Consider the following 24,028-nt stretch of genomic DNA (forward strand, 5'->3'; position numbering starts at 1 on the left):
TCCAGTAATAAATATACACTTGGAAGTCAACTCCCTGATATAATTTTGACATATAAAGCACATAAAGAGATTTTTACTTTAATCTCTAGAAGACTTATCTATACTTGAAAGTAAATATATAGACAATAATTATAAATCAGAATGGCGTGACTTGCAGCAATTACTGATGTTGTCATGCTGACTAGACATATTGACCTATGTCATCTTATGATCATTCACCAGGCACAAATTCAGGGTTAACTGAAATGATGCTCAAGTGGCCATTTGGCTTTTTAAACTTCCAAAATCTGAAGCCAAGACTGAAGCCAAGAATTAGATTTTTGACCAACTATCAAGGATGATCAATGCATCTTCACAGATTACAAATCATCTACAGTAAATCTTTACTTAATGTCATTCATAGGTTGTTGAAAACTGGGACTTTCAGCGAAACAACTTATAATGAAACCAATTTTGCCATAGGCTAAATTAATGAAAACAAGAGTTACATTCCTATGGCCTATTTATGGTCACAGAAATATCACCAAACTTCTAAATAATGACTAAAACACTTCTAATATTAAACATTGAAATAAATGTGAGCTAAAAGAGTAACAAAAACAAGATAATTATTTACCCGCTTATTCCAGTCAGAGTCGCGGGTGGCCCAAGCCTATTTCAGCAGCATAAATGCAAGGGGGAAACTTGCCCTGGAGAGGGCGCTCTCCCATGGCGGGGTGCACTCACACACATGCCACACTCGTTCAGACTGGGACCGTGGAGACACACCAATGAGCCGCAGGTATAGATCTTTGGAATGTGGGAGGGAACCGGAGTACTTGGAGGTAAGCCCATGAAGACATGGGGAAAATGTGTAAACTCCACACAGACATTGGCCTGGCCAGGAATTGATTTTTCTTGTTCCATCAGCGTTAGAATGAAATGATGTTAAACCAAATAATCTTATTCAAAGACCTACTGTATCTGAATCAGGTAGTTCAGCATGAAATACTGATCATGCCTTTGTTGAGTCAGCCAGAAATAATTTCCATTTTCTCAGGGATAAAGAGGTAGAACAATCTGTTCCCTACAGAAAACTCTTGGAATAGTTCCTGGGCTAGTATTGCCTGGATTTAAATGCAATGGTAAAGTTTAAAGATTAAGTGCTTTAACTGGGCTCCTTTGACTGCTAGGCATAATTAAGTGCAATGATACTCTGAAGACTGGGGTGGGAGAATCACTTGAGGCCAGGTGTTTGAGACCGGCCTGAGTAACATAGTGAGACCCCCCACCCCGCACATCTGTAAAAAAATAAAATAAAAAATAAGTAAACAATTAAGTGCAAAAAGATTTTTAAGAGCTGGTATTATCCCTTCCACAACCTGAAGTTTAAAATAATTTTTAGTCTGAAAACTTAACATGGCTTTAAGATCCAAATTACCACAGTTAGATACATTAGTCTCCTTGTTATTCAGAAAATTGCCTTTAAGGACACAAATATTTATCTCAGTAAAGACTCACTATTATGAAATCTTAAAATTATTTATTAAAATGTGATTGATCTAGTAACATTCTTCTGTTATCATTACAACCAGCATGTGGGCATAAGTGACAAAAGGAGCAATGACAAAAGTAATTGATTTTATTTTGCTTTTCTAACCACAGTATTTAGACAGTGCTATAGTTATTATGCATAATAAAAATAAGTTAAAAAATAAATTGACCATGTGACAGGTTTTTGGTAGGTCTTTAACAAATGTCAAGTTGATAAATCTGACTGGGATGAGAGTGTCAAATGGTCTTTGAAACTGCTTTTCGTTTTATAAAGGCCTGGCCCACAGAATAGCAATTCCCACTTACTAGCTGGTAACAAAATTGGTATATTTAAGGGCAAAGTCTGGATTAAAACCTATGGAAAAAATTGTGATTGAAGTTACTTAGTCATGAAATAGAGTTGTTAAAGGGGATTGTACATATTTTTAAACTTTGCTTTAGTGAGATCATAAATGCATAAAATAAAACAACTATGGCCTTATTCCTCAAATCATTTTGGCTTGAATAGCTGCCTTGAATAAAAATAGTAAAAGAGTGTTATATTTATAGAACTCTATTTTTATCTATGAATATAGATGAAACTGGAAAAAATCCCCTAATGTCCAACAGTCAGGTGTGGCATATAAGGTCAGCTGTTCACCAAGTTAGCCTCCTTATTGGTATTATATAATTGACTCTGGTGGTCCATACAAGGACTAATGTACCCACTTTCTCTTGCATCAGAATATTTTCATGTGACTGATTTCTTGGTAATGGCATAGAGTGGAACTGATGGGTGTTAACTTCTTAGAGAAGGCCGATGAAGTTGGTGTGACTTCTCCAAACTCTCTTTCTCTCCTATTGGCTGGGTGCATAGGGCTTCTTGGCCTGGTCAATAGGGACTGTTGCATTGTAAATGGGAGAGTGCATGATCTTGCTAAGGACCAGCTGCTACTTACTTGAGCCCATTGTTGCCATGTGAGTTTGTGGGACCAGTGGAGCAGATTTTGGCATTATTCAAGAGAAGCTGAAAGTGCAGATTTTTATTTGAAATTCTCCTATTTACATGCCAAACAAAACAGTCAGTGGGCCATCAGCTTGCAATCTCTTATTGAATAACTTGAGCCCTGTGTAGATTAATTGTAATCATACATTACATGCTATAAAGGTATTATAAAGTGATTTCACACACGTTTCTTTAAGCTGTAAGAAAGCTTAATTTGGTAAATCTTACTATCTTCATTTTTAAAGATAAGAGAAACAAGGTTCAGAAACTTGTACTCCTAGGACTTCATCAGAGCCGTATGCTGCAGTTCTATCTTTACCTCCATTTCTATCTCTTCATGCCGCCTATGCTCAGCTAAACTACCCATGTTCCCTTGAACTTGTCAGTATGTTCTTGCTACACTGCTCTTGCTATGGAACCCCCTTCTTTGAATCCCTTCCTCTGTACAGATTTCCCTACTTTATTATTTATTCTCTACTTTCTACCCATGCTTCAGGACTAAACTTAAACATCTCTTCCACATGAATTTCTCAGCTAGCTTTGTGCTTCCTTCTCTGTTGGTAGTTCATAGATCGTATGTTGCTGGAATTGTAGCTGCATACATGTGTCTTCCTAATTAGATTATAAACCTTTGAGATCAGGGAGCAAGTCTTATTTCTCTTTACAATATCCTGTGACATCCTCATAAATCCCTGAACAACATGGGCATCCAAGAATATTCATTGAATCAAAATTTCCACCTATTCTCAATAGCACAACAAGATTATACATTTATTGTACAGTCCATGATGTGAGTAAAGCCTTAAGTTAGACTTAAACCCTCTGAATCAGCATAATAGGGAAACATATTCTCATCTACAGAAAGGGTAAAGGTTCATCCTTTGAGCTGGAGGACAGCTGCAGTTGAGTCTCAGATCTAGTGTAAATCAGCAACGAATGATGGCTAGATCACATCTCTTTCACGAATAGCTGGCTAGTGATTACCATTAACAAACTTTGCTATGGCTTAGTTTCTTCCTTCAAATGTAAATCAAGATTTTCAAAGAGTTTCTTAAACAATTTCTTAAGGAGTATACCTTAATGTTGCAAAGAGGCCTCAGCCAATGGAGCATTTTATTTAAGCTCTTGAAAAGATAAAGAGGTAAAATGCAGTTAGACATTTTCATGCCACTAGTGAATCAGAAAAAAGAAGTCACTGTCCCTCTAACAGTGAGATGAAAGCAGGTTCATCTATTAACTGGGGCTAAAGTACGGTGCAGTATTCATTCCCATCAATTCTCATTGAGAATGAGCACAGAGAATGTTCAGAGTTTCATTTCCTAGTTATTGCTTTCTTCTTATTTTCAAACTGCTTCTATTCATTTCTGTATGGCTAGATATGAGACTCTTTAGGCATGCTAATTTACTATTTTTCCCCAATCTATTTGATGTCTGCAAAGAACTGTAGATGTATTTTGTATTATGTTATTAACTTGAACTAGTCAGGAGTTAATGAAGAAGGCTATAAAAAAGCCAGTGTTTTTGTTTTGAACCAATTCATGTTAATTTATATGCTTCTGACCAGGTTAAAAGCCCTTAGCACATGTATCATTAAAATAAAAATTCATGAACCCCGTACAACCTGGACAGAGGGCTGAATTGAGAGGAGAGGTGGTGGGAAAGTTGCAGATGTTTATTATAATCAATTTAATATTCTGAGTTGTGAGATAATTTCTTAACAAGTCAATTATTATAGATTAGATTATAAAGATTTATCCTTTGATCCTCAGCTGTCTTCTGCCTTAGACTGTGTTCAGCATCTCAGCGGGAATCAGGGAATTCTTGGTAGAACGAAACAAACGTCTCTCCAGCTATCAGCTTCATTAGCAGCACAAGCTGGCTTTGAAAATAGCTTCCAAGCATAAAGAAAGCCTACTTTCAGGGTTTAACATAAGGTAAATATATCTAATATAGTCTAATGTGGAAATTTACAGGAGCCAGACTGGATAAATTAGTAGGAAACCTAATAATTTTGAATCAATGTACATTCATTAAAAAGTAGTAAATAAAGAAAACAGTCTATTGCATTTAACTAAAGGTTTGACTATAATCAGTTTTTAAAAATAACTATTTCCCTCTCCAGACTTGTGAGGCTGACAGACTGGGGTTGGGATCCCCTTCTGTTCCCACCTGCTAAAGGAGTCAGGGCAAATTACTGTTCATGTTTTCATTTCCTTCCATGTAAAATGGTGCTACTAAGACCCAAGCAGTCTCAGCAGCAGCACTACACTTCACAAATAATAGCTATTAATATTATTATTATGTTGTTACATACAAAATATAAATAAGACATGATAAAAGTAAAAGTAAATATAATCCCACACATTGGTATAAGCACTAGAGAGATTTTGGTATATTTCCTTCTGACCCTTTTTTCTATATGTATTTGCACAAAAATGAGATTGTATTGTACATGTTGCTTTTTTCTCACTTAAAATATTAGTAGTATCTTTTGATGCCATTATATACAATAGACAAAGTTTTTTAAAGGAACTTTATTCATTATAAGTTTTTGTGAGTAGGTTTGGGATAACATGTCAGGGTTTTAGAACTTTCATCCTCTTGGGTAACAAAAAATTCTACCTGTAGGAATAACTAGGTAGGAGCTGTCACTGATGGCTGCAGCCCAGTCAACAATATCTACGTCTTTTCATCAACAAGTAGTTACAAAAAAATATGGGGTGATAGTGGTCATTCTTGAGAACAAGGAACATTCTTTTTCTGTACCTTGAAAACTAGTTTTTATAAATAGCCAAATGCCAATGAAAATCTAAAATACTGGGCTTTTCCTAACCTGAGACACAAAATTATACTGAAAAGCCTAAGGAGGATGTTAAAGATGAGCACAATGTTGCGCTTTATATCTGATCCAATACCAGGACACCTCTTCTATTTCCAGTAAGGCCAATTATCTCATTTTCCTTTATTCCCTTTCCTGTGCTGCTTTTGCAGAGGAGGGTGCACTTGTTTTGGTGAAATAAGACAATTGCATTAGAGACTCTCTCTGTAAGCAGAGGAAACAATGTTAATCATATGAGACCCTTTTAAAATGTGGACCACACTGGTTTATTGCTACTGTACTTTTAACCCCACTCTTTTATATTCCGCTTTATGATGCTGGGCTGAATCCCTGCAAACTTTTCTCCTGTGCTAGCCTCTGTTACATACTGGCACAGGGGGCCACTCAAAGAGTCTGAAAGTAGGGACCTGTTTCTTCCTGTTCCTTTCAGTGTCACCACAGTGATGGTTCTTCATACTGGCCTTGACGGTTGTTCCATTACAGCAGTACTTTCAGAACCAGCCTAAACACCTGTCCCCACCCTCTCCTGCCCCGAAATGCCAGCTTTCCCTCCTCAGAGATCTGCATGCCAGCTCCTTGAGGGTCCCTCCTTCAAGCTTCTACATTTTCTTAATTCCATTCCATTCCCTTTGTTCCCACAGTCCTTGGGGTGGTAGCTACTCATTGTAGTTACTATCTCTGTGATACCTCAGTATGGCCCCCTTTTCATTTCCAATTCTCCAATACCTGGCTAACTATTCTTTATGTTAAATTCTCCCAACTAAACTTTCTGGTGTGTTTTTGTCTCCTGATGGCCCTGGCTAATGCACGGACCAATACCAGACTGACTTTGCCATTTCTTTCATACTTTTAGAGTATGTGGCTGTTCTGCTTCTCCAGTGCTTCCCATCTAGTGGTAGGTGACTACTGGTGAGATGCTAGGTTAGCATAACATGTACTTAGAATTTAAAATGGAATTCACTCCCAACAAGATTTCAGCAATTTGTATTTCTGTGAATTGTATTGTATATGAATATATAATAATACAATATCCATGAATGTAAATGCCTTAGAAATAGCAGACTTTTGTTTCATATTTAGTGAAACTCCATATAAATATACAAATGTTGCTTTCCAAAGGACATGAAATCCATGTTTTATTTATGTATTTATAAAAAATTTAAAGAGCCTCTTGCCCAATTTTATATAGAAAACAACAAACAAGCCATCTTCAAACAAACAGTTATGTTTCCTCATGGGATTTAAAATAGAACATCTTGTCCAATAGGCTTCTTCAACCTAAAGTTATCTAAAAATGCTAAATAAGCTTCTTCAAAAAATAAGCTTATTTCACTTAGGAAATGGCTCTCCTTGAGTACAGAATTGTTGGACAAGAAAAAAGCTTCTAATTACTTCTGAAAGAATCTCTGAAGAGCTAAGATCAATGAATTGGATGAGAATTCTATCTGCCACGTGTCTTCTATTTTTCACAGGAAAAATGAAAGTAGTTTTTTTCCCTCTTTTTCCCAAGCACTCTCGATCTCTGAGTCCTTCCCTCCCTCTCTTCCCCAATCCCTTGTTTCTACAGCAGGTTCTATATTTAGAAAGAATCCATGGACTAAGGACAAAGCAAGTTTGACTTTCATTTCTACCAGTTCTGTTGGTAAATGTGGGTTATGGCTGCAGCAGCCTTAAATGACTCCTGTGCCTCTCTACCCATCTTCTCTAGGAATTTCTGAAGTGTGCTCTCTTTCAGGTGCTTGGTAAACTGGGTTTGTTGTTTCCTGACAGCTGGGTTGGAGTGGGGGCTGTTACGGATTGTCAGATAACACGGATGGACAATGGTGCTAGAATGGACACCGCAGAGAGAGGATGGGAGGTATGGGGTTAGGAAGGGAAGGCTGAGAGGCAAGGGGCAAAAGCAGGCTTGCCCCTTGTCTTTTGATCACTTCAAACCATTCTTTCTTCCTGGTAGAGCTATGGATAGTGACAGTGTATGCCCAGCTTGAGGGAAATGTGTGTAATTCAGAGGCACACCCAACTCCAAAGGGACACACTACTGTTTACAGAGAGTCAAGGCTTTCAGATGAGTTGTGCTTTTTCCAAGGTTCCAAGACATCAATAAAAAAAAAAATGTGCCTTTGTGCTGTTTTCATACTAGCTTAGGCATGTTATTTTCCTCTCTAAAATGAGGTTGTTAGCACTGAATGGATCCCAAGATTGTGGTCTTTATTTAGTGAAAGGTCATGGACCAAAACCTAGATTGTTTCTACCATTTTGTTTCAATTTATATGTTCTGATAGTTTTCTTTTTATTCTGATTCAAGGTTTAGCTTTTTTTTTTTTTTTTTTCAACGATCATATTCTCACGACTGCTCTTTTAGGGTTTTATTGGTGCTGATGATGCCTGAATTTGTCTCTGGTTCTGAACTCTTTCCTGGGCATAACTCTTTAACTCCTTTGATGACCTGAACATGTTTGCTTGCACATCCCAGCACTGCTTTCAACTGAGCACATGTAGCATAGCTCTTCAGTAAGAACGGTCTCTCCCTAAAGTCCATGTTTCTGCAAACAGCACCACAATCACCAAGGTCAGGCTTACCTTTCTCTTCACTCCCATGTTCAACTGGTCACTCAGTCCTTGTACATCTGCCTTGATTGTTTCCAGGTTGTTTTTCTCTGTTCTCCCCAGGGCTCGCTCATTACCTGGATTGTCCTAATGCCTTCTTACCTGGTCTTTCTATTTCTGGTCTCTTTCTTCAAATAGTTCTGCTTTTTATTTCAAATCAATCTGCTAAAACATCACTTTCATTGTTTCTTGCCTCAATTTAAAAAATGCCACTTCCCCCATTTTTCTGCAAGACCCCTCATCTAGATTTTAAGTTCCTTCACAGGCCATCAAATTTTTCAAATTTACTTCTAACCACTCACTCCTCAATATAAAGGCTCTATCCATTTAGAAGAATAGAACCAAGCTAAAAAGCTGGGGGAAAGTTCAGATGTGATTGAGAGTTTGATGACAGATTTTGTGTGTGTGTGCGTGTGTGTGTGTGTGTGTGTGTGTGTGTGTGTGTGTGTGTGTATTCATTCCCTTTGGGTGTTCCTAAATCTCCTGAAGCTTTTATTGAGAAGCCCATTCTAGGATGTTTTACATTTGAGTCCCTGAACATGACTTGTTCATATTATCTTCTTCCCTCCCCTCTGAGATTATTTCTGTTAATTGTATCACCAACCTCATCATCCAGCTAGAAATCAAGCCATCCTCTTTAACTTGTCTGTATCTCTTACCTGTCACCTCAACCACTTGTTGCATCCTGGTTTATTCTATTGTGCAACATCTCTCACATACGTTGCCTCCTGTCTGTTCATTTGTGCTGTCTTTCACAACCTTCCATTTTTCTACTATAAGCTTTTGCAGCTAGATTTCTAGCTCATCCTGTATCTATAGATAAATTTGTTCCCCACTCTTGCTTTCTGTACCATATGCTGTTTTCAGATTTATTTTCATAAAACTTCTACTCAGACCCCATTGCTTGCTCTTCAGGGAATTCTCACTGCCTGAAGAATAAAATCCAAACTTCTGGGATTAAAGTTCTTCCACAGCCCGAGCCTGTTACCAGTGGCGAATCTGACAGGTCTGCCGCAAACCTGACCCTTGCCTCCTTGGAGGAAATAATTTGGCTGAGGAGCAGAAGTAGGTTTCAGGTAGAGAGAGAGACCTAAGCAAATTTTAGAGCAGGAGTGAGTTTATCAAAAAGTTTTAGAGCAGGAACAAAAGGAAGTAAAGTACACTTGGAAGAGGGTCAAGAAGGTGACTTAAGAGATGCAAGTGTCCTGTCTGGCCCTTGACTTGGGGTTTTGTACATTGGCATGGTTCCAGGGTTTATGTTTCTTCTCCCTTGATTCTTCCCTTGGAGCGAGCTGTCTGCATGTGCAGTGGCCTGCCAGCACTTGGGAGGGGCCACATGCACAGTGTGCTTACTGAAGCTGTACAGCACACTTTAGGTGTTTTTTTCTTACCAGTCTAGTGTTCCTAAAGGAGGGTCATGTACTGGTTAAATGCTGCCATTTTGCCTCTTAGCGTACATGCTTGAGCCCACTCATCCAGCTCCTGAGATCTTATCAGGAAGCTGCTGATCACCAGCTTCAGGTGTTTACTACCTACTGGGAGACTCTGTTTCCCTGGTGCTGGTCATGACCAATTATTATTTTACAGTGGTTGTTTAACAGCCACCTGACCATCACCTGATGGTTGCCTGACATTCCTGGGGGTGGGGCCTCTCCTGCCTTGCTCATGTCTGCCTAATTACCTGCTCTAAGAAGCCTGCCCTAACATTCCTGTCCTATCTCCCATGACATTCCTGGCCTAACTAAGAAATGGGCATAATTTCTTGAACATGTCCTATATGTTTGCTTGCGCTATTTCCTCTGCTTGGATTTCCCTTTTTGCCTTCTGTGCCTGACGTAATGCTACCCGTTTTGGGCCCAGCTCAAATATTACCTCCTCCCTAATACTTTCTATCACCTCTTCCTCTGTTTGAATATTTAACTGTTTGAATATTAACACTCTCTTAACTGTGGCAAGTATAGCATTTTCCATATTCAACAGTTGTAAGGATTTTATATAGATGTTATCTGAGCTAGACTTACAAAGCTACCACAAGGCAGAGACTTACCTTAACCATCTGAACATCCCCAGGTCCTGGCATGATTCCTTGCATGTAATCACTGAATATGTGAACATGCTCCTGCCTTGACAGCCTTCCTCTTGCTGATACATTTTCCTGGAACTCTTGCTTTTAACCTCTCTAGGTCTCTAAATACTTAAAGACTTTAAAGGATCAATTATGATTCTTTGTTTCAGACAATTTCTTCTTAACTAGTAATCTTATCTGTGAATATGTATATTCATTGTTGTCTGTGTTATTCTCTTAGAACTTAACAAATTGCTCCTTTGTATTATTAAAAATGTTTATTTTGGGTATGATGGGCAGGGAGTGAGGAGGGAGGTCACAGTTTGAATTCAAATGCAATTTAGCTATGTTCATGCAAATCCAGTGGGAATTAGGGGTAGATATGATCATACCAGAGCGGCTGACAACTCTGAAATCTTTAGGGCTGACCAGCAGGCTAGAGACTCAGGAAAGAGTGGATGTTGTAGCTCAAGTCCAAAAGCAGTCTGGAAGCAAAATTCCCACTTCCTTGGACAACCCTAACCTTTTTCTCTTAAAGGAGTTATTATCTATTATCATAAGAACTCCTGTTTATCTTGGGTGATAACCTATTCTAAGTAAAAAGTAGTGCTTAGCTTGACCCAGGAAGAAAGCTTTAGTTGTCAAGGGCATGAACTTGGTTACAGCTTGGGTGTTATTTCAAATCACTAAGTGGTATGTGAGGACTTCACTTTGTCTTTGGAGGTATTCATGGAAGCAGTGGAGTTCTGCAGGAATAGACACATTGTGAGCATGTGCAAACCACTCCTTGGCAACTCCTGGAATAATGAAGGGACACTTTACTGTGGGCAGTGGTCTTGTCTGAACAGGATGAGAAACCTGTGAAGTTTGAGATATTATACTTTGCATGATCGTTACATGATAAAGCCTGAGAAACTCAGGTTGTGTTTTGTGTTGTGTTTTGTTATTCCACCAACACAGTAAGCTTCCTCAAAAGCAACATCCCATCTAATCCCTCCTTTCTTTCCCATTGATGTGGCTCTAATTTTGGCTTCCAGCATGTCTCATCTGGATGATCACAGGAGCTACTGTTTTCCAGCCTCTGTTCCTACATTCCACGAATTCATTCTCCTCAATACTGCCAGAGGTTTCTTTCAAAATGAAAATCAACTACTCCCAGTTCAAATCAGCAGACAGAGGCTGCATTTACCTTTTCTTTCCCCCAAATTACCTTTGAAGTGATGGAAGAAATACACAACTAAAACATAAACCCATCACAGCAATGATACTGTGGTCTGAATATCCATGTCCCTCCAAAGTTCATGTGTTGAAATCTACCCCACAATATGTTTATATTAAGAGGTATGGTCTTTGGGAAGTGACTAGGCCATTGAAATGGTTTGGCTGTGTGTCCCACCCAGATCTTATCTTAAATTGTAATCTCCATGTGTGGACAGAGGGACCTGGTGGGGGGGTGATTGGATCATGAGGGTGGTTACCCCCATGCTGTTCTTGTGATAGTGAGGGAGTTCTCATGAGATCTGGTGGTTTAAAAGTGTTTGGAAGTTCTCTCCTCACTTTCCTTCTCTCCTGCTGCCATGTAAGACATGCCTTACATTCCCTTCACCTTCCACCATGATTGTAAGTTTCCTGAGGCCTCCCCCACCATGTGGAACTGAGAATCAATTAAACCTTTTTCTTCCATAAGTTACCAAGTCTCTGGAAGTTCTATATAGCAGTGTGAAAATGGATGAACACAGTCATGAATGGGATGAGTGCCCTTATAAAAGAGACCCAGGTGAGCTTGCCCTGACTTCCACCATGTGAGGATGCTGCAATAAGGTGAGAGGGCAACTCTCACCAGACACCAAATCTGCTGGTGCCTTGATCTTAGATTTCCTAGCTTTCAGAAACTTTGAGCAATACATTTCTTTTGTTTATAAATTACTCAATGTAATGTATTTTGTTATAGCTGCCAGAACGGGCTGACTGTTGATCTGACTAATGATAACAGAAAGGGTGTCACAAGAAGAGAAGAAATATTGATGAATTTCTGGAATGTACAAGGCAATCCATTCAGGACTGAGATATTTATGACACAACAAAGCAAAGAAAGAAACTTCTGAAAAACTGTCCAATTGTAATACATGATAAATTATCCTAAAATGTATTTTTTTGATAAAAAGTAAAAGTCACATTGAATATGCTTGATTTAGAAGGTGCTGTTTTCGAAAAAAAAAAAAAGTGAATCAGATAATTTTGTACTGGTCATCATAACCTGACCACATAAAATATTTTGATTCCTAGAAGTATCTAAACTTTGTCTTCCTAAGCAAACACGGCAGCTGATTATAATAATCAAGCCCCTATTTTTCTGAGTGGATCTTGGAAGTAAATGCATCAATAAAAAGTTAGCTTCCATTCTGATGCAGAGCTTGGAGGGAGGCACCTGCCGGGGTGGCCCTGCTCTGGTGGACTGTGGGAAGGGCAAAGGAACCCTGGAGAAGGACTGAATTCTCGTGTAGGGTGAAACTACAGTGGCAGTTGATGCCTTGGGGTTCAACCCAACCCCTTAGCCTTTTCTCGGCTGAGCAGAGAGATGTCTGGCTCTGGAGGTGTCCTGCCCTCGGTGACCAAAGTCTGGAAGGGAGGGTTAAGATATGCCACTTTAGTTTTAATCTTCCATATTTTATGAAAAGCTCCCTTCAACTTTTTTTTAATAGTGAAAAATATTTTATGACATGAGTAGGAGTTAAAATTAAGTGAATCAAGAATATTACAAAGGGCATAGTCAGTATAATCTTAAGACATACAATTTCACCTATATAGTTGAGATTGTAACCGTAAATGCATTATTGCACTGTGCTTTGTTTACTTAACCTTTGATCATATGCATTTCCCTAGATCACTGTGTATTTGTAGTTTGACACACATAACACCATTCTTGCCCATACACACACCCAAATATGGGTTAGGGGACAGAGCCACATAGAAGGTCATGATAATATTGGTGATTTTATTTTTCATACTATGTACTTTTCTGTATTTTCTAAACGTTTTTTCTAATCAGGAATCAATGCAAAGTAACTTTTAAGATAAAATAATCAACCTTTTCTGGGAATTTGAGTGATTTTTTTTTCTTCTACATTCCTGCATTCACATTTTTTTCTAAAACAACAGGTACTACTTTTGTCATGAAAAAATACTTTTTAAAGAAGAGAATAAACTAAAAGCAAAAATTGTTGTTATATTAAAAGTTCATTCTTAGGAATATAGGTGATTTTTTCCCCCTCACCTTTTTAATTGAAAGAACAGACATTTCTCAAAAGAAGACATTCATGCAGCCAACAGACACATGAAAAAATGCTCATCATCACTGGCCATCAGAGAAATGCAAATCAAAACCACAATGAGATACCATCTCACAGCAGTTAGAATGGCGATCATTAAAAAGTCAGGAAACAACAGGTGCTGGAGAGGATGTGGAGAAATAGGAACACTTTTATACTGTTGGTGGGACTATAAAGTAGTTCAACCATTGTGGAAGACAGCGTGGCTATTCCTCAAGGATCTAGAACAGAAATACCATTTGACCCAGCCATCCCATTACTGGGTATATACCCAAAGGATTATAAATCATGCTGCTATAAAGACATGTGCACACATATGTTTATTGCGGCACTATTCACAGTAGCAAAGACTTGGAACCAACCCAAATGTCCATCAATGATAGACTGGATTAAGAAAATGTGGCACATATACACCATGGAATACTATGCAGCCATAAAAAAGGATGAGTTCATGTCCTTTGTAGGGGCATGGATGAAGCTGGAAACCTCATTCTCAGCAAACTATCGCAAGGACAAAAAACCAAACACTGCATGTTCTTACTCATAGGTGGGAATTGAACAATGAGAACACATGGACACAGGAAGGGGAACATCACACACCGGGGCCTGTCGTGGGGTGGGGGGGTGGGGGAGGGATAGCATTAGGAGATATACCTAATATAAATGACGAATTGATGGGTGCAGTACACCAACATGGCACATGTATACACATGTAACAAACCTGCACATTGTGCACATGTACCCTAGAACTTAAAGTATAATAATAATAAAAAAAGAAAGTACATGTGACTTTGTGCTTATAAACTAGTATATTTGTATAGTATGTATGGTATGTTCTTATACACTAGTACTGCAAATTTTCTAAAATAGCGTAGAGTGCTTTTTATGAAAAAACCTTATTTTTTTAAAATAAACTTTATGACGTCTCACTCCTTTACCATAGAATTTCTCTTTCTTTCCTTCCTTTCTCTTTCTTTCTTTCTTTTGCTTTCTTTCTTTCTTTTTCTTCTCTTTCTTTTTTTTTTTTTTTGATAGAGTCTCACTCTGTAGCCAAGGCTGGAGTGCAGTGGCGTGATCTTGGCTCACTGCACACTGCCTCCCGGGTTCAAGTGATTCTCCTGCCTCAGCCTCCCGAGTAGCTGAGACTACAGGCACATGCCATCACCCCCAGCAAATTTTTTGTATTTTTTTAGAAACGGGGTTTCACTGTGTTAGCCAGGATGGTCTCGATCTCCTGACCTCGTGATCCGCCTGCCTCGGCCTCCCAAAGTGCTGGGATTACAGGCGTGAGCCACTGCACCCGCCTACTATTTCTTTACTTTCCATTTTTAGCTTTAATTTTTTAGCTTCTGTTAATATTTGAATTTTTTTTACCTTGCACATGTTATTTAAAAATAACAGTGTTGCCCTCCATTAGAACCCATACAAGCATAACATATGCATTTACATATATATGAAGATATTGCTCCCTTTGTTTTTCTTTTTAGCCAATTTTTAAATTTTAGAACAGTTTTAAATTTACAAAAAAATTGCAAAGTTAGTACAGAGATTTTCTATATACTCCACACCCAATTTCCCCTATTATTAATGTCTTATATTCATATGGTACATTTGGGACAATTAATAAACAAAGACTGATACATTATTGTTAACAAAAGTCCACACTTTATTCAGATTTTGCTAGTTTTTGCTTAATGCCCTTTTTCTGTCCCGGGATGCCGTCCAGCATATCATGTTACATTTAGTCAAGTCTTCTTGGGCTCCTTCTTGGCTGTAATGGTTTCTCAGACTTTTTTCTTTTTGATGACCTTGACAGTTTTGAGGAGAACTAATTAGGTATTTTGTCAAAAGTCCCTCAGTGGAGATTTTTCTGATGTTTTTCTCATAATTAGACTGGAATTATGGGTGTTTGGGAGGAAAACCTTCATTAAATCGTATCTGGAGTACGTTCTACCTATAAGACTTAGTACTGTTAATGTTACCCTTGATCACGTGCCTTGAGGTAGTGTTTGTAGGCTTCACAATGTGAAAGTACTCCTTTTTCCCTCTTTCCATGCTGCGCTCCTTGGAAGGAAAACACTGCACAGTCCACACGTAAGCAGTAGAGATTTGTGCACTCCTCAAGTGTGAACTTAAAAGAATATCTACAGTCCTTTGGTTTTTCATTGTGTTTATCTCTCTATTTTATTTGAGGAAAGAATATGTAGGCTTAACATTATGAATGTTTAAGTTGGGAAATCAAGGGGCATGTGTAGAGGTCAGCAAGACACTGTTGAGCATTTACATTGTTGTAACCATGAGAGTGAAATGAGTCAACAATACAGAGTTTGGACAAGTAGAACAGACAGTATATAGGAGATTGAATTGTGTGTGCCCCACTCTCGTGGTCTGTCACTCTCTTTTTCTGAACACACACACACACACATACACACACACACTCTCTCTCTCCTCTCTGTCTCTCTCTCTCTCTTTCTCTTTCTCTCTCTCTCCAAATTGTTTTGAGGCCAAGTTACAGAAATACATCTCCTTTATACCCTTAAAATATTTTAATGCTTATTTCCTAAGAACAAGGACAATCTCTTATATAACCACAATACAATAATCAAAATCAGGAAACGAACATTGATATAGTGCTATTATCTGTTCTACAAATCTTATTCAAATTTGGACAATTGTCCTACTTATGTTTTTCACAGTAAAAGAAAAAAGTTCTGGTCTAGGATTCACAGCAGGATTACTTGTTTCATTTAATTGTACTTCACTCTTTTAAAAAAAATTTTGTAGAGACAGGGTCTCACTATGTTGCCCAGGCTAGTCTTAAACTCCTGGCCTCAAGCAATCCTCCTGCCTTGGCATCTCAAAGTGATGGACTTATAGGTGTAATTGCCTGGCCAATTATATCTCTTTAGTTTAAAGCAGAAAAGCTCCTTAGTTTGTCTTCTGTGTACCTCAGATTGGTTTGTGTGTTGCTTCCTCATGATTAGATTCAGGGTGGATGTCCAATTGACTAAAATCTTTTACTAAAAAATTAATATCTTCCTCATTTGTTTGAAATGCCAGATTTTTCATCTACTTAATTCTCATATGCATGCAGGAGCCTGTAGGTATTGTTTTCATTCAGCAATAAATGTTTCAGCTCAATGCTCTGCATTTCATTTGCACAAAGGCTTCCCGTGAAAGTAAAATGTCAAATATTTTATGTTTCTCAATCACTAAACTCATATTCTAATACTTGTTTAACTGGTCTATTGCACAAGCTGAATTCGGTGAAGTACAAATAGAACCCCTCTCCCCTTCTTTCTTTTTCCTCCCCCCTCCCCCTCCCCCTCCCCCTCCCCCTTCTTCTTCTTCTTCTTCTTCTTCTTCTTCTTCTTCTTCTTCTTCTTCTTCTTCTTCCTCTTCCTCTTCCTCTTCCTCTTCTTTTTGGGTAATGTATTGGGCAGATTCCATAGCTTTTCAGATATTAGGAAGTCTAGTCCATTCTGATAGGGATGCTTCTCACATTTCCCAACTCAAGCCTGATTCAGGTTCAGAAACCTGGAACAGTTTTTTGGGGAAAAAAGCATGGTGATGGCAGGCATGATGGTTCATTTTTGGTGTCAACTTGACCAGATTAAGGAACCAGTTATTTATAGATGTGTCTGTGAGGACATTTCTATAGGAGATTGGTATGTGAGTAGGTGGACTGAGTGGGGAAGATCCACTTTCAGTGTGGGTGTGTACCATGCTCTAATCAGTTGGGGCCCAGATAGAACAAAAGGCAGAGGAAAGGCAAATTCCCTCTCTCTTTCTCCTAGAGCTGGGACACCCTTCTTCTCCTGCCCCTGAACATCAGAACTCCAGGCTCTTTGGCCTTTGGACTCCAGGACTTATATCAGCAGGGTTCTCACAGAATTATACTATAGGCTTCTCTGCTTCCAGGACTTTCCAACTTAGACTAGGCCATGCTACTGGCAACCCAGGATCTGCAGCTTGCAGACAGCCTATTATGGGACTTCTCAGTCTCCACAATCCTCTGAGCCAGTTCTCCTAATAAGTCATCTCTTCTGTAGCTACATATCCATATCTATATCTTTTTTTTTTTTTTTGAGACATATTCTTGCTCTGTCGCCCAGGCTGGAGTTCAGTGGCACAATCTTGGCTCACTGCAACCTCTGCCTTCTGGGTTCAAGGGATTCTCCTGCCTCAGCCTCCCAAGCAGCTGGGACTACAGGCACCTACCACCATGCTTGGTTAATTTTTGTATTTTTAGTAGAGATGGGGTTTCGCCATGTTGCCCATGCTGGTCTCAAACTCCTGACCTCAGGTGATCTGCCCACCTCCGCCTCCCAAAGTGCTAGGTTTACAGGCATGAGCCACTGTGCCTGGCCTGTATCTATATCTATCATCTGTCTATTTATATCATCTACATCTATCTGCCTCTCTGTCTCTCTGAAGATTGGTTCTGTCTCTCTGAAGAACCATAATACAGCTGGTTTCTTAACTTTTTCTCTACCTCACTCTTCCATTAGCAGATGGATGTCCCTCTGCCTCCTCTAGGGCTGGACAAAGTGAGTGGAAGGGGAGGTGTTACTTGCTCAGTGTAATTGGAGTCCAGTTCTTCAGCTATGGCAGGTGCTCCTTTGGCTCTGCCACATGCTCTTTTGCTTGTGAGGCACTGGAACCTCCTGCTGCCCCATTCCTGAGAGGAGGATGTACCCTCCAAATGAACACTTTTTTGCTTCTACTGAATCCAGGTTGCCTTCTTGAACAGGGTCTTTTCCAGTCTCACTCTGGCTAACTACTTATTCCGTGATCCACTTATTCTGTGCAGAAAGTGCAGTGTCCTGCTCCTGGCTGTGGGTGGAAGCACAGCCTGGCCCTCTGCACCCATTCCACTCTGTCCGCCACCAGAGCTGTTCTCTTGGTGAGAGTCAGACACAACATCAGGATCTCCTCGAAGCTCTGGACACTGCACACTTTTCAGAGCCAGACGCTCTCCCACTGCACCAATGAGTATGTTAGGAATAAGAAAGAACTGTAACCGTGACAGAAAAGGGGTTTTAAAAAAACACTATTTATACAGTTTCAAATGAAAACAAGTTGAATATCTATATTGAGTATAATTTTTTAAGAAAATTATAATTTTATGAATGTTAACTAAAGAAGTATAAAACAGAATTCTATTTGTTCTACAAACCATTGGAAAAAAATGAAAAAGGTAGTCCAATATCAGATTTAATCCTTTATTTTTATAGTGCTGAAGATCCACCCATCCTTGAAGGAACATGAAATTCCTATGCCTTGTCAACTGCACTAGGGCATGGAGAAAAAGATGGAAAGATTCTTAGTACATCCTCTGAGATCCCCATACCCTGATGTCAGTAGCGAAGCACAATACAGCTGCCAAATCAATGTCACTTATAAATAAAGATGTAAGAATCCCGAGTAAATCATTAGCAACTTGGGTCCAGCATTGTATTACAAAAACTAACATCATTATGCAGGATTTATTTCAAGAAGCTCAGTTCAATTTAGGGAATATATCTATATTCTATTATTACTCTATAAATAGGTGAAAGAAAACTATAACATCATTTTGAGAGATTGCTATTATACAAAAGAATTAGGCAAGATTCACCACCACTTTTATACCACTTCTTTGTTTAAAAGTTTTATTAGCTTGAATTTATTTTGTGATGGAAAACCTATAAAATTTTTTAAAAAGAAAATTTAATCTGATCATATTATGTAATGTACAGATGATAATTTTTTTTTACTCCTAGTATTTTCCCTTCTGTCCATTCAAGTAGGCAGTAGCACATTCTCAGGGTAGAAAGAAGAAAATACATTTTCCTGTCTGGCTGTCATTTGTAAATACCAAGCCCACTGAGGGGAGAGGGAGGTCTTCATGGGAATAGCTAAGAGAAGGGATAAGTTTTCATCTTGGCTACACATTAGAAGCCTTTGGAGTCTTATAAAGTAATTGTCCCAGCCACACTGCACACCAGTGGGGTTGGTATGTTTGGTAATTGGGAATATGAATTTTTTTTTCTTTTTTTTACAGCGCTCCAGGTGACTCTGTAAGGAACATGATTGTGCTTTGGTTAAGGATAGGCCGAGGTAGGATGTTTACATCCTGCGCGACTCAGCAAGTTTAGAGGGCAGGCATATAACTCCACTTGTTATTACAGCTATGTAGCCATAACATGGGAACCTCACCACTTGGCCCTTAGCCACTATTGTCTGTAAAAGGTATAATTGCCCTGTTGACACTGTGCAGGCACTGGTGCCCAGAGAAAGTGAGAGAGCCAGAGCTGTCCATCTTTGCAAATGAACAGAGGGGAGCCAGGACACAGTTTGGCTCGCTTGTGGCCAGAGAGAAAGAGTTAAGCGTCTGACCCTGAAGGCAAGGGAGAGCCGGCCACTCAGCTGTGTGTGGGGGCCGCAGGACTAAGCAGCCGAGACAGGGCAGACAGTATGAGAAAGCTGTTGATGAGAGCGGCTGCTAATAAAGCCATTCACCTGTCTACGGTCGCCTGGGTGTTCTTTCTGCTCCTTTCCCCACTCCCTCCAGACCTCAACATGACCTTTGGTGTAGTCATGAACCTGACAGACTCTGATGCATGGCTAAGGTTGATGACTATTATTCTAAGAAAAATAAGAAGGGAGAAGCATTTTTACCTGACTAAACAGTAAGATTCTGCAGGGCTGAAAAGAGAGAAGAGAGAGAGGGCTATGCTTTCCAGAGAAACGGAATTCGGCCATGCTTTTGGCTACATCCCGGAGAGGATGGCTGCATGTTACCCTTTCTAGGGAAGTAAGACTCAATGGGCTTTGGGAGGTTTTAGCTTCATAAACAATTCCTGTATCTCACACTTGGTTTGGAAGCAGTAGGGACGACATACATCTTGATAACTCAGCCAAGCAGGTAACCAATGACAAGATGCATATCCTCCCTTCCATGTTTTCTCTTCCTTCAAAACTGCATATACCCCAGAACCTTTACAAGACCCTGGATTGGGGGGTTGAAGAATCCCTACTTAGGCCGGGCGCGGTGGCTCACTCCTGTAATACCAGCACTTTGGGAGGCTGAGGCGGGCGGATCACGAGGTCCGGAGATGGAGACCATCCTGGCTAACACAGTGGAACCCCGTCTCTACTAAAAATACAGAAGAAATTAGCCAGGCGTGGTGGCGAGCGCCTGTAGTCCCAGCTACTGGGGAGGCTGAGGCAGGAGAATGGCATGAACCCAGGAGGCAGAGCTTGCAGTGAGCCGAGATTACGCCACTGTACTCCAACCTGGGAGACAGAGAGAGACTCCATCGCCAAAAAAAAAAAAAAAAAAAAAAAATCCCTATTTATTACTAAATTCCCCTCCAGTCTGATGAGATGGTGGCCAAATCAATGGTAGTCTGATTTGTAGAGAACAAACAGATACGATATTTCTTGCAACACATGTAGATCTTACTGTTTATAGACGGAATGAATCAAAGCTCTGTATTCACACACCTGAGGACAACGCAAAGGCAATACATCAAATATTATCTCTAATTCCGAGAAAACTCATTTTAATTTTCCTGCCATTTAGTTGTAGAAACATAGTTCCTGGATGCTTCCATGCAAAACACAGGATGTACTAATCCTAACAATGACAGCAATTCAGTGTGATCCACAAAAACGGAATGCAACTCTTATACAGGCCAACAAAGCAGGAGGACCCAGAACTATTGCTGAATTAGCAAAGGGCTCCATCTGCTGATGGTTTATGCACATAAGAGCTGGACAGGGGTTCATGTTGGTATTTGTTTTAGGCAACATTCTTGAAATAATGGTTATGGCATTTCTTGTCCCGTCCTCAGGGAAGACTAGGACAGCTCAAGTAGGTCACAGAAATGTGAAATGAGGAAGAGGTGGTGGTCTGTAAGTTATTAGGGGCAGTGTTTCTTTCTTATTCTGTCTGTAAGTTATTAGGAGCAGTGTTTCTTACTCTGTGAAAAGTTTCCTATAAAAAGGCTTTGGGCACTCACTATCGCCGAGGTAGGGGCAGGTGCTGAGAATTCCAGTTTGCAAAGCCTCTTATCAAGAGACTTATTGTGAGGAAAATGGGATGCATCATTTGCCCTTTCAGTGGGAGGTTCTTCCTCTGGGTGAGTCTAATTTGCTGAAAGAACAATCGTGTCCTTCAGATTGTATTATATGTGTTCAGTGGTTCTTCAGTTTTTCATCCCAGTCTAGGAGAGTTCATCTATCATACTAAAGACTATTTATGGTATAATTAGCCCCTTGTCCAATTTTTCAAATTTTCTAAAATGGTTTTCAGTTAGAAAAGTTAGATAAGCTTGAGATAACCAGATTGAATTGATATAAGCAAAGCAAAGCAAAACAAACAAAAAGCAAAACAAAGCAAATTTTTAAAAAATTAAGGTTTAGCGAATAGGAACAGCTCCGGTCTACAGCTCCCAGCGTGAGCGACGCAGAAGACGGGTGATTTCCGCATTTCCATCTGAGGTACCGGGTTCATCTCACTAGGGAGTGCCAGACAGTGGGCGCAGGCCAGTGGGTGCGCGCACCGTGCGCGAGCCGAAGCAGGGCGAGGCATTGCCTCACCTGGGAAGCACAAGGGGTCAGGGAGTTCCCTTTCCGAGTCAAAGAAGGGGGTGATGGACGCACCTGGAAAATCGGGTCACTCCCACCCGAATATTGCGCTTTTCAGACCGGCTTAAAAAACGGCGCACCACGAGACTATATCCCACACCTGGCTCGGAGGGTCCTACGCCCACGGAATCTCGCTGATTGCTAGCACAGCAGTCTGAGATCAAACTGCAAGGCGATAGCGAGGCTGGGGGAGGGGCGCCCGCCATTGCCCAGGCTTGCTTAGATAAACAAAGCAGCCTGGAAGCTCAAACTGGGTGGAGCCCACCACAGCTCAAGGAGGCCTGCCTGCCTCTGTAGGCTCCACCTCTGGGGGCAGGGCACAGACAAACAAAAAGACAGCAGTAACCTCTGCAGACTTAAATGTCCCTGTCTGACAGCTTTGAAGAGAGCAGTGGTTCTCCCAGCACGCAGCTGGAGATCTGAGAACAGGCAGACTGCCTCCTCAAGTGGGTCCCTGACCCCTGACTCCCGAGCAGCCTAACTGGGAGGCACCCCGCAGCAGGGGCACACTGACACCTCACACTGCAGGGTATTCCAACAGACCTGCAGCTGAGGGTCCTGTCTGTTAGAAGGAAAACTAACAAACAGAAAGGACATCCACACCGAAAACCCATCTGTACATCACCATCATCAAAGACCAAAAGTAGATAAAACCACAAAGATGGGGAAAAAACAGAACAGAAAAACTGGAAACTCTAAAACGCAGAGCGCCTCTCCTCCTCCAAAGGAACGCAGTTCCTCACCAGCAACGGAACAAAGCTGGATGGAGAATGATTTTGACGAGCTGAGAGAGGAAGGCTTCAGACGATCGAATTACTCTGAGCTACGGGAGGACATTCAAACCAAAGGCAAAGAAGTTGAAAACTTTGAAAAAAATTTAGAAGAATGTATAACTAGAATAACCAATACAGGGAAGTGCTTAAAGGAGCTGATGGAGCTGAAAACCAAGGCTCGAGAACTACGTGAAGAATGCAGAAGCCTCAGGAGCCGATGCGATCAACTGGAAGAAAGGGTATCAGCAATGGAAGATGAAATGAATGAAATAAAGCGAGAAGGGAAGTTTAGAGAAAAAAGAATAAAAAGAAATGAGCAAAGCCTCCAAGAAATATGGGACTATGTGAAAAGACCAAATCTACGTCTGATTGGTGTACCTGAAAGTGATGGGGAGAATGGAACCAAGTTGGAAAACACTCTGCAGGATATTATCCAGGAGAACTTCCCCAATCTAGCGAGGGAGGCCAACATTCAGATTCAGGAAATACAGAGAACGCCACAAAGATACTCCTCGAGAAGAGCAACTCCAAGACACATAATTGTCAGATTCACCAAAGTTGAAATGAAGGAAAAAATGTTAAGGGCAGCCAGAGAGAAAGGTCGGGTTACCCTCAAAGGGAAGCCCATCAGACTAACAGCGGATCTCTCGGCAGAAACCCTACAAGCCAGAAGAGAGTGGGGGCCAATATTCAACATTCTTAAAGAAAAGAATTTTCAACCCAGAATTTCATATCCAGCCAAACTAAGCTTCATAAGTGAAGGAGAAATAAAATACTTTACAGACAAGCAAATGCTGAGAGATTTTGTCACCACCAGGCCTGCCCTAAAAGAGCTCCTGAAGGAAGCGCTAAACATGGAAAGGAACAACCGGTACCAGCCACTGCAAAATCATGCCAAAATGTAAAGACCATCGAGACTAGGAAGAAACTGCATCAACTAACGAGCAAAATCACCAGCTAACATCATAATGACAGGATCAAATTCACACATAACAATATTAACTTTAAATGTAAATGGACTAAATTCTCCAATTAAAAGACACAGACTGGCAAGTTGGATAAAGAGTCAAGACCCATCAGTGTGCTGTATTCAGGAAACCCATCTCACGTGCAGAGACACACATAGGCTCAAAATAAAAGGATGGAGGAAGATCTACCAAGCAAATGGAAAACAAAAAAAGGCAGGGGTTGCCATCCTAGTCTATGATAAAACAGACTTTAAACCAACAAAGATCAAAAGAGACAAAGAAGGCCATTACA

The 24,028-nt window shown here is 40.2% G+C and overlaps 3 annotated features.

Moving 5' to 3' along the window:
* Positions 19,406–19,700: a silencer, noted in NCBI's record as "tiled region #7231; K562 Repressive non-DNase unmatched - State 21:Repr". NCBI's record gives its function as "represses a minimal TATA promoter and a strong SV40 promoter by Sharpr-MPRA in K562 cells {active_cell/tissue: K562}" and the evidence as "EXISTENCE:reporter gene assay evidence [ECO:0000049][PMID:27701403]".
* Positions 22,008–22,578: an enhancer, noted in NCBI's record as "H3K27ac-H3K4me1 hESC enhancer chr6:100271711-100272281 (GRCh37/hg19 assembly coordinates)". NCBI's record gives its function as "activates a minimal SCP1, AML or CMV promoter by ChIP-STARR-seq in primed H9 embryonic stem cells {active_cell/tissue: H9 hESC(primed)}" and the evidence as "EXISTENCE:reporter gene assay evidence [ECO:0000049][PMID:30033119]".
* Positions 22,163–22,282: an enhancer, noted in NCBI's record as "active region_24864". NCBI's record gives its function as "activates an Ori minimal core promoter by ATAC-STARR-seq in GM12878 lymphoblastoid cells {active_cell/tissue: GM12878}" and the evidence as "EXISTENCE:reporter gene assay evidence [ECO:0000049][PMID:35858748]".

Source organism: Homo sapiens, chromosome 6 (genome assembly GCF_000001405.40).
Source record: "Homo sapiens chromosome 6, GRCh38.p14 Primary Assembly".
Taxonomy (NCBI): domain Eukaryota; kingdom Metazoa; phylum Chordata; class Mammalia; order Primates; family Hominidae; genus Homo; species Homo sapiens.